At 38.4% G+C, this 12,012-nt stretch overlaps 1 protein-coding gene across 28 annotated transcripts in view; it reads right to left on the bottom strand.

Moving 5' to 3' along the window:
• Positions 1 to 12,012, bottom strand: part of ABCA13 (ATP binding cassette subfamily A member 13) — a 476,040-nt gene that overhangs the window by 447,594 nt on the left and 16,434 nt on the right. For all 28 annotated transcript variants that reach the window (XR_926914.3, XR_926915.3, XR_926919.3 and 25 more), the window contains exons 2-3: positions 6,852 to 6,945; positions 1,544 to 1,667 (exon numbers count right to left, since the gene is read on the bottom strand). Coding sequence is in view for 25 of the 28 variants with exons in the window: in XM_011515130.3 (XP_011513432.1) it covers positions 1,544 to 1,667; positions 6,852 to 6,945 (218 nt within the window). In the remaining 3 variants the exon portion in view is untranslated. The remainder of the gene's footprint in view (positions 1 to 1,543; positions 1,668 to 6,851; positions 6,946 to 12,012) is intronic.

Raw genomic sequence — 12,012 nt, 5'->3', positions numbered from 1 at the left:
ATTCACAGAACCACAGGTAACAGAGCCAGTATTGTTTAGCCACAAAATCATATTCTTCCCACTTCAACATCATTTAAACCTCCCAATCCAAGTAAGGAAGAGACATAAGAAAGACTTGAAATAAAGACACTGCTAAGTCTCAAGCTCTTCTAATGCTTCCAAGAAAGACAGAGTTTTGTATATTTCCCTTCTCCACACATTCAAGAAAAGACCATTGAACTTTTCAGGGTTATCACTTTACAGTATTTTCAAATGAGCCTCTTTATATCATATTTCTATATGATTTGTCTCAGAAAAAGTAAGCACCTACTATGACCTGAAAGTTGGCATCTCCCATCCCCAAATTTTTACGTTGAAACATAACCCCTAAGATGATATAGCGGAGGTGATTGGATCGTGAGGACAGAGCCTTCGTGAATAGGATTAGTGCCCGTATAAAAGAGACCCTGGAGAGATGCCTCATCCCTTCCATTATGTGAGAACACAGCTGGAAGGTGTCATTTATAATGGAAAGGGTTCTCACCAGATACCAGATCAGCTGGCACCTTGATCTTGGACTTCCCAGCCTCCAAAACTATGAGAAATAAATATTTGTTTCTTATAAGCCACACAGTTTATGGTATTTCATTATAGCAGCCCAAATGAACTAAAACAACACCATTTATAAATATTGTACCTGATATGCCGAAAATTATCTGGAAACTTTTAATTTTCCTCTTGTAACTTAGAGTTGGAAAATAAAGATCATATATGTCAACATTTGCTTTACATTTAAATATCTTAGATTGTTTAATATTAGTAAATATAGATTAAATAAAACTCAGATCATTCATACCTGATAAATTCAAACTATCTTAATCCGCTAGCCACTTCCTTCCCTTCCTAACTTCACCTGGGAGAAGTTTCCAGGGCATTCAGTATCCCCCAAGTTAAACCCCCTCACTTTGTCTCTTCTCACATGAAATATCTTCTTCTCCTTCTCTTCTTGAGTTTAAGGCCAACTGACACTGTAGGCAACCACAGGCATAGCTCAGCATTCAGAGACTCAGAGAAGGCAACTTAACTGTCCTGTAGTCCGTTTAGGTGGTTTATGACAAATAAAGAGTTACTGCCCAGTTTTATTTTCCCTCAGCTGGCGACAAGATTCTAGTCAACTAGCAGCACAGGAGAAAAAACCCAGTAGGTAGCTCAAAAAATAATTGTTCTGGGGGCATGTGGCACTAAAATGAAAAGTTGGCTAGACAAGTAATTTTGAAGTCAAGAGTTTTAACCTACAGAAAACAAATTATTACATGCAAATGGCATTTGCTAATCAGTTATTACTCTGTGAGTCCCGCAAGTGACAGTGGAAAGATCTCCTGCTGGAAGCTAACCATTAGTTGGAGGCAGAATTATATGACTCTGAATTTAATAAAACTTTAATTTCTATACTTCTCATGATCTCTGACCTATCCCAAATTATTGAGGCTTTACAAAAAGCAGAAGCCTGTTCTATGTATCAGCTTTCTGAGATTTCTGAAAAAGATCTTTGTGTTTCTCTTACCGAAAATGATGCTCCATTGACCCTTCATAGCTGAAGTTCCTACACCTTGATCCAGTGTTACAAAGAAGGCTTTGAACAAAGGGGATAACACCACAGCTGGGTAGATCTCGGGGCTGCAAATAACCTAGAAATAGATGCAAAGAAGAAATGAGTCCGTATACCTGCTACCAGAAATGGAATTCCTGTTGAGTTGAAATTGTAATATATAACATCATATTATTATATTATTAACCTTGCTATTAATTTAAAGGAGATCTAAGGGCTCAGACAAAAAGAATCAAACAAAATGGAAAAACCTTTATATCTAACACCTTTCTTCCAGGGTCAGTACTCATGTTTCAAGGCAGAATGGCTCTGAGCAGCCATATAGCTGCAGGATTCACAAGCTTCCCCATTCACTGAGTGGAAATAACCCTGATGCACAGCCAAGCTTCCAGACACCGCTCTCTGTAAACAAGCTGTGGGTAGGAAGAATAGAAAGGATGCTTCTTCCCATCTCATATAAAAATGTAGGAGTTTTTAGTTTTGGCAAAAAAACTTCAAGCTTAATGCAAGTTGAATTCTTAATGTTTAAATATAGTTGTTAAATATTGTATAATACAAAAAAATTGTCTACACTGAATAGGACTTTTCAGAACAAATGTCACTACAAAATAGCCACCTCTATGGATAATGTGCTGTTTACACATCCCCAACCATATCCTCCCTTCACACCATCAGGAGGGTGGGAGTGGTGAGGATGCTGATGGCTGCAGCAACATGAAACTTATGATTACCGGCCCGTTTCTCCTGCACAGTACACCTGGTTTTCTATCATTTACCTTCCCTTTTCTCACTCCCTTTGCTCTTCAGGCTGCTGCAGCCGGGCCCTCCTCATCCTATCCCTCTACTGAACTGCCCTGGAAAACTTGTCAGCCCTTATCTACTTTGACTCCAGGTCAAATGTTCATTCTACCACACCTCACTACCTCCCCAGGGAGCAGACCTGGAATGGAGATGCCTGTCCAGCGCCCCAGTATTGCCAGGGCCCATCTGAAACCTGGAGCACTTTCCCAGGTCTCCCCAGGGTCTGTGACCGCTTCTTGTCTTTCTCTTTTCCCAGTCCCTGAAAGCCAGAACACAAAGGCAGCGCTGCCCTGACAGCGGTTTTCACATTCATATGTAGCTCGAGGAAGCAGCAGCACCCTGGGCTTGTGCCTGTCCTCCTGCATGTGCAGCCTGCCCAAACCATAGGTGATCACAAGCCTAACTTCACCAGCACAAACAGAATTTACTGGGACAGATAAATAAAGCTTCTCAAGCTTTAATCTCTCAAGGCACTTAACAGGAAATTTCACTTTCCTATGCAAATAATCTTAACTTTGGAAGATTATTTATTCTTAGTGAAAATACCCATATATGCAGTCTTTGGCTTCATTCTAAAGTTGTAAAATCCATATCACCTTTTCTAAGGTCCCTCTCAGTCACAGCACAAGAACGGGGCCAGCTCTTCCTGTAACAAGACAGGCACAGAACATCTTCCACATGGTGGTGACTTCAGGGGTCAGCAACAGTGCCCAGATAGTGCATTTCCTTGACGTGACTTCTGTGTCCCCTCTATCTCTCCAGGAACACATCAGAAATGGTGGCCCCACAGACAGTGCTCAGTGGGTCAGAGACTGAGGACTTCAGCCCTGGGCACACTTTGTCTCCAAGATTAAAGACCTGGCATGGTAACATCAGGCCACCCCAAAACAGTGGGAAGCATGAGGGAGGGGGATGGGCATTTTTTAGTCATTGCCATGCCAGGCTGGTGCTGAGTGCATGCTCCTGACTGGCTTTCTCACCAAGTCCTCACAGCAGCCCTGGGAGCCAGGGGAAATTTGCTGTCTTTATAGAGAAGAGGCTCACAAAGGTTGCACGCCATGCCCATCCCCACAGAGCTGATGGGGGGCTTGATGGAGCTTCAACGTGCAGTCCTTGATCAATTTTGACTCTTGAGCCCCTTGAGGCTCTGACAAAGCCTTCCCTTCTGTAGGAAAGCTCATCTGCATACCTCTAGGAAACATTTCCAGTGTTTCTTTGGGCCACATCTTTGTTGGACTGCAGTCCTGATACAAAGCAAGAGTTTGATAAATGTTTAATGGATGGATGGAAACTTCGAGGATAAGGAACATCATAAGCTACCCTTTCCATAGGGCAGGACTGAGCTACTACCACAGTGGATGGCAGACTTAGTGCTCTCTATCATTTACAACTAAATCATTCACAATTTTGCATTAGCCACTATCATTTTGAGGCTTCTTATCAGTCCTGATACCACGTTATCCTCTGGTTGCATGCAAGCTTTTTTTGCCCTGTTTTGCCCGTTTCTCCTGCACAGTACACCTGGTTTTCTATCACTTACCTTCCCTTTTTTCACTCCCTTTGCTCTTCAGGCTGCTGCAGCCTGGCCCTCCTCATCCTATCCCTCTACTGAACTGCCCTGGAGAACTTGTCAGTCCTTATCTACTCATGCAGCAACAGCACCTGTCACTCTGCCATACCTCCTTCTTTCAGTGCTTCCCAGGCAGACTCCAAACCTCTTTGTTTCCCTTCCAGCACTCTGGTTGCTGCTTATTGTCTCCTCTACTTGTCCCTTGAATGTGCTCTTCTTGAGGCCTATGTTCTGGAAGTTTCTCCTTCTTAGGTGTCCTCATCTATGTGATTCCAAATTCATAATCTGATTGATTAGGCGACTCACTCTGACAATCACAAGAGTCCCTCAAATTCAGGATGGTCATGCTGAGCACAGCTCCCCAAATCCCCCACATGTCCTGTGCCCTGTCAGTTCAGTGGGAGTGCACTCTCCACTCAGCTGTTCCAGTCAAAGGCCTCCCTGTCCTCATGCATCCAGCCAGTTGTTTCTTCCCATCTTACCTCCTTCATGTCTGTTGAATCTGCCCTTTTCCCACTGCTTCAGGGCACAACCATCTCTTGCCTGGTTATTCAAGAGTTCCACAAGTTGATCTTGCCTTCTCTAGTGTTGCTCTCCACCAATCCCAAATTCTGCCTTTTCCAGTGTCCAGAATGTGACCCCTAAATGCTCATTTTATTATGACCTTGCCTGAAACCTTTCAATGGCTCCTTCATGTTCTTTGAGAGTTCACCATCCTCAACATCATACAAAGCCCTTTATTGATTTGACCCTGCTTACTACTTCAGCCACATCTCTGCCTTTTGGTTCTACTTTAGGTTTTTGTCCATGCTGTCTGCCCTGCCTAGGCAATTTCTCCTCTGCACTCTCTTGTTCTGACAAAGTTGCACAGTGCCTGAGAAGGCTTTCTTTAGAATGGATTGGCTGACCCTCTTGTGTGCTCACATGGCTCCCTGTATAAAATCCCATCATGGCAATTTTCCCACTACAGTCTAATAGTCTGGCCCTACAGTGAGCTCTGCAAAGGCAGGGAAAATGCCTTGTCCACCATTTTATTCTCAGCCTGAAACACAAAAGGCACTCAATACATATTTATTGATAATAATAATAAAGTAGAAACCCTGAAAAGCTTTTTAGGTTTTCTTAAATGATATTTTACTCACATGGGTTTTACATTTTTCCATTCTGCAACACACAATAGAGTCTCCAAACAACAAAGACAAACTGATAGGAATGGTCCTAATATGTGTAAAACCTAAATATAACTGACACACTGTTTTGGGTAAATCCCAACACTTATTAAACCCTTATTGATGTAATGATTACAGAGTCAACCACATTATACATATTTAAGTGGTATAGCCTGATAGAGACAAAGCAGGCCACTATTTCTCAAGGAGTGATGTTGTTAAGGTTTCAACCCAGAAAAACAAAATGGTCCATCTGACCATTTTCCTGAAGCACAGGAAGTTACCAGTAATAGTTTATCAGAGCATCACCATCACAACTGATAGCATCAACATAGTAATCACTATCATCACCATCAATATCATTTCCATCATTACCATCACTATCATCACCAACAACACCATCATCACTATTATCATCTCCATCGTAATCATTACCATCATCATTATCTCCACCATCATCTCCATTATCATCATCATCACCATCATTACCATCATCTCCATTATCATCAACATCATCACTGTCATCTCCATCATCATCTCCATCATTATCATCATCGTCCACTATCATCACTCTTATCATCATCATTATCACTATCAGCATCATCATCATCATCATCATCATTATCATCATCATCAACATTGTCATCACCATCATCATCTCCATCATTATCATCAGCTGCATCATCACTACTCTTCATTATCATCATCATCATCATCATCATCATCACCATCATCATTATTATTGCTGTTATCTCCATCATCATTTCATCGCTATCATCACTATCATCTCCATCATCATCACCATCATCTCAATCATAATGATCACATCATTACTATTATCTACATTATTGTCAGCATCATCACTATCATCATCTCCCTCATCATGATCACGGTTATTATCTCCATCATAATCACTCTCATCACTATCATCATCTTCATCATCATCACCATCATCACTATTTTCCCAATCATCATCTCCATTATTATTACTATCATCTTTATTATCATGAAGATCATCACTATCGTCACCAGCATCATCACTATCATCTTCATCATTACTATTATCTCTATTATTATCACCATCATCACTATCATCATCTCCATCATCATCTCCATCATCATCATCATCATAGTTACTATTATCTACATCATCATCACTATCATCATCTTCATCATCATCATCATCTTCATTACTATCATCTCTGTCATCACAATCACCACTATCATTATCTCTTGCACCATTATAACTATCATCACCATCATTATCATTTCTGTCATCATCATCACCATCATCTCCATCATCACCATCTTCACCATCATCATCATATCATCAGCATCATTATTTTCTCACCACCATCATCACCACCATCAACATTACTATCAGTATCATTCTGATAAACTATGAAATGCATCTCCCACTTCTACTTCTTCTCCTTTCTATATTTATAATGGCTATTTACTTATGCCCAGATTGTGTCAGTTTTAATTGGAAGAATAAATCTATGTGCTAGATTGAGTGAACCTGTGTGAATATCATTCTTAAAAGACAAAACCTAAATTGTGGCTTATTGACATATACTCCAGATATGTTGTTATTGTCATAATGAAACCCTATCTATTCATTTCACTCAGCATTCAGAGTTTATAAAAAACAAGAAAGAGTGCTATGAGTTTTTTTTCTCCAAAGGTTAATTCAAAAAGTATATTAAAAAGTGAAACTTACAAATGTCTCTGTATCTGGGAGGTTCTTGAAAACGAAGAACTGTCAGAATTACAAACAGGATACAAGGCCAGAAGAATTCAGCAAGGAAAAGGACCTAGAAAATTAAAAAAAAAAAAAAATCACCTGAATAAATTGTAAGGTATTACAATATTTTCATCTCTTGAAGGAGGTCATTTTAATCCCTGCTGTGTGTCTCAGAACAGTCATTTGGGACAGGAGCCCACAGACAAGGCCTAGTTCATTTATCATTGCGTCCAGATCTGTGACGGTGTCATCTCCTTGTTCTTCTCCCATCAGACCCAGCTTTTGCTTCTTTCCTTTTTCTGCACATTTTTATTTATTTCAGAACTTATGACATTACAGAAATTAAAGAAATAAATAACTTCACCCGTATTTCCCATACTTCAATACAGCAACTATTTTTATTTTTCTAATTTCTTTAACATTTCTGACTTTTTTACCCAAATAGATATTTTGCTGGCTTTGGTGGTAGCATCCACTTCTCATTTACCTTCATTTTATGCATATTTTTCAATATTGCCAAACAAGATTTATAACTATCAGCTTACTTGTTGCATAATATTCTTACCAAAGGAATATCCCATAATTCACACATTCTTCTGTTAAGTAACATTTTTGTGTATAAATAATCTTTCATTTGAATTATTTTCTTAAAATTAGAATAAACTCCTAAAACTAAGATTACTGGAGTAAAATCTCTTGACACAGACTACAAAAGAGCTACTCAAATGATTGCAATACTTTGTACAACCTCAAATTTTCAAAGTTAAAAGAAAATTAACTTTGACACATGGAATTTAATCATTTCACACATGGAATTTAATCATTTGAGGAAAAAAAAAAACACCACCTATAAGGTATAGCCCAAAAAATTAATAGAAAAGCCTCAATTGTCATAAAATTAATTTTACTGTCATCATTCTTCACTTGTTTTATGGTGGATAATCTTGTATTGAATTCATGTGACATCATTTTGCAAATACAAAAGTTTATAGCCAGACAAAAAGTAGGCAAGCCATTGAATAAATGCACAAAAAAAAACCTAAAAATCTGCAGGCTAAGAATGCTCCATCAAACACCAAAGAGGATATCTTACTGTTTCAGATTCCCAGTTATAATGCTTTGAACTAACATGAACTTCTGGTCACTTTGGTTTCTTTATTCTTTGAACTGCCATGGTCATATCCCATTGCAGTAATCCTTCCTTGTAAGCAGATCTAAATGTGACCAGATGAGTGGCCTAAAGCCATGAAGACAAAACACAGGTGTAAAAGAGTTTTTCCATCCCTGGTATAATTAAAGAAGAAAAGAAATCACCCTCTTTGGCCGGGCACGGTGGCTCACACCTGTAATCCCAACACTCTGGGAGGCCGAGGCAGACGGATCACTTGAGGTCAGGAGTTCCAGACCAGCCTGGCCAACACGGTGAAACTGCATCTCTACCAAAAATACAAAAAAAAATTAGCCAGGCATGGTGGCACACACCTGTAATTCCAGCTACTCAGAAAGCTGAGACAGGAGAATCACTTGAACCCGGGAGGTGGAGGTTGCAGTGAGTCGAGACTGCACCACACTGCACGCCAGCCTGGCAACAGAGCGAGACTCCGTCTCAAATTAAAAAATTAAAAATAAATCACCGTCTTTGAAATATTCCACGAGGAAGTATTTCTTGTGACAAAAAGTGCATCATGATTAAAAAGTTCTCTGACACAGTCCTGAAACCTAGTTTCACACATTCTGATAACAAAGAAAATGCCTGCAGATCACCCTCTGGTTCAAGGGACCACAATTAAACTATAAAGAAAGGTCAAGGACGCTCAGGAGATAACTACTTATTTAAGTCATTTTGGTCATTCTTTGTAATAAATTAATAAGTTACTGGAGTATTGGGGTAGGGAGGTGGTGGGGGAAGATTCCATCATTAATTCTGACTGAATATAAGTAAGCAAAATAAAAAATATACCTCATATTAAATGATAACTTGATAGCATTAAGAATAATAAACACATAATTTTCTTGGGTTTTTTATTCTGTTTCATTTTTAATAACATACAATAGCTATTTTTTAAGACAAGTAGTTGTATAAAAAACAGAAAATGGTTTATAGAACCAAGACTCATATAACTTTTGACATTATAAATATGTAAATAAACATATGTATGGTTAAGAAATTTTAAAAGTACAGAAAGATTATAACCACTCTCCTATAGGATAAACTATCTATTTACAAAATACATGTATATGTATAACTAATGTGTTAGAACCAATTTTCCATAACAGCACTTATAGTTCTACCTTGCTACTTTTAAAGGCTACATAATATTCCACCGTAGGATTTAATTTATTTAACCAATCACTTCATCATGAAAATTTGCATGTTTTTCTATTTGGGGCCAGTGATATCATGAGGTTGTTTTTCTTTTATCAATTAAAGTGGTACTTACTTAGAAGAGAAGCATTTCTGCTTGAAATTGAAAACTCTCTTAGGAGTGTTTCTAAATTTTTTCTATTACATGACACTATTGAAATATTACAACTGGGAAAATTTTGCTCAAATTTGCAACAGTTTTCTTGAAAAGGTAAAGGCCATCAAAGTCAGACATATGTGTAGCATGAATTTTGGTCCAAAACACCAAATATATTACTCTATTATAGTTGATTACAGATAACAAGACAGCAACATACTAAAACCAATGCACATTATGAAATCAAGTAGATGCAGTTCAATGAATCCCAGCTTTTAACTTCATGAGGTTTTTTTTACATATTTGGCTGACTTTTGTAAGTAGATCCGTGAGGTACCATTGCCAAATGGGATTACTGCACTGAAGTGTATATGATTTTTAATGTGGATTTTTAATTTGGATAGATGTAGTGAAAATGCCCTCATTAAAAACTAAACCAATTATCATTTACTCTGATTGCACTCTCAATAGCACCTAGGATTAACAAACTTAATTTTTTGTCAAGCTGATATGCAAAAACATAATGATAACTTTAGTTATTAAGATCAAGCATTTTTCACAAGTTAAGCATATAATAATTCCTTGCATATTAACTCTCTGTTCTTCCAGTTGCCTATTTTTCTATTAAGTTGTTCTTTATTTTTACAGACTTACAAAGCATCATTTTGTATTTAATTTTTTAATTAAAGAATTCAGCCTTTTCATGGCTTATGGTATTACAAATACTTTCTCCAACTTTGTATTTGCCTTTTTATTGTCTAAATCTTTCATGCCATTAATTTATCAATCCTTTTATTTATAGTATCTGGATATTGTTCCCTTCACATGAAGACAACATCATTTAAAGGACCCTGCCAAAGCCAAATTAAAATAGTAGTAACTCTAAAATCACAAATATTTTTCAGTCCAGTCTTAAAAATCCACATCCGATCTCTAGTTTCAAATGAAAATATTATTGGAAGAAAATAAAACCTTGAATCTTATCGTTGAGAAGTTTCTCTAAGCATCTTGAAATAATAACAGAATTCCAATTAAACCTAAAAAACAACATCTCAGAGTGTTTTATTTACAAGGTGGTCACTGACCCTTCTGAAAATCACAAGTGAAAAAATATCTTTCATTGTTCTGAATTTGAAGTTGCTCCATTCAAGAGAAAAGTAGCCAGACACCAGTTCTGCTGTGTCATTTTCCATTGTGTGTGAGTGGCTTTCATAAGACTATTTCTCTGCAGGGGTGCAAAGGCAGCCTTCCCTTTCTCATCACATTTTTAATCACGTTTTTCTTCTTATATGTCATTATTATCCTCGAATCTTGCTTAACATTTTGAATCTTACCCCTGTTAAATAGGAATGCTGTCTGATTAATGCTAGGGCTTCACCGTATCTCGCACATCTCAGACCTTCCATTGCTGACTTCTTAACACCAGAAAGTGACCCAATCAGAAGCAGAAACTGGCACTTCTGCTGTCCAAATGCGCTGGCACAGATGCTGCCACAGGCTCTCCTCTCAAGAAAAATAACCGTCTGGTAAACCTATTAGCAGTTAACAAAACAATGCCCCCACTACCAAACCACCACAAAGCCCTCCTACTCTTCCAGGAGGGAAGCTCCGACCAGCAGAGGGTGGAAGCGTTCAGTCCTGTACCCCGGAGCTTCCCATCCGCAAGGCACTTCTCACCATGAATTTCGTGGATGCCCAGATCCCTGTTCCACTACCATTCCTCTCACCTTGTGGGCTGAGCATGAATATAAACCTTTCCATGTTTCCATCAGCACAGCTGAGCCACGATGGCATTTGGGAAGACATTAGCAATACATACAGATGAACATGTACACAAAAAGGACTCCTGGGTAAAATGATACATTGAAACTTCCTCACAGACTTTTTCTTCTTCCAGACAAAATGGGTGGGGTGGGGGGAGAGAAAAGAAAATAAATTAGAGGAGGCAGGAATAAACTTGTATTTGCCTAATAGAAAAAAACTACCAAAACGTAAAAAAAAAGAAAAAAAAGTTTCTAGAGCAGATCAAATAAGCCTACCATACTTCAACCCCAACTCAGTTGACAATCTCTAAAGCCATAACAATGTCCCCTCATAATCCTGGTGACTATCCCCAAAACCCACATCCATGGAGATGAGCAACCCAAAGGAGTCTCCTTATCTCCTGCTTCTGACAGAGGAGTTGGAAAAACTGCTACTGAGAATGATCAAATAAACAAGGAAAGTGAACAATGAGGCTGACTCTCGAGGAAACCTCCAGGACTACATAGAGAAATGTGAGAAGAATCCAAAGCTGGAGAGCAATTTCCACAAAATGAACTGAACATTACACAAAACGTTTAACAATTTTTCATAGGAGAGCACGGAGCCCAACTGGTCTAATAAAGGTTGTATTGCATCTCAGATGATTTCCCTCACTCTTCTCCATGGCTGTCCTGACCATTTCCAATCTTCTCCTTCTATAGATGATTAGAGCATACAGGATATGCTTAGGGATCACACTAGATATTGAAGGAGAAATAAAACTGTTCCCAGATTTATTGAAAAGAGAGTCAAGAACAAATATAATACCTGGGCTGAACTCCCCAAGTATAGGTGGCAATAAAACAAAGAGCACAGCTGCTATCTAAACATTAGGAAGGAAATAAACCAACAGAAAAAGAAAAAGAAAACAA

The sequence above is a fragment of the Homo sapiens genome, chromosome 7 (genome assembly GCF_000001405.40).
Source record: "Homo sapiens chromosome 7, GRCh38.p14 Primary Assembly".
Taxonomy (NCBI): domain Eukaryota; kingdom Metazoa; phylum Chordata; class Mammalia; order Primates; family Hominidae; genus Homo; species Homo sapiens.
The sequence above is the reverse complement of the archived record's forward strand: the minus strand, read 5'-3'. Positions and strand labels throughout refer to the sequence as shown.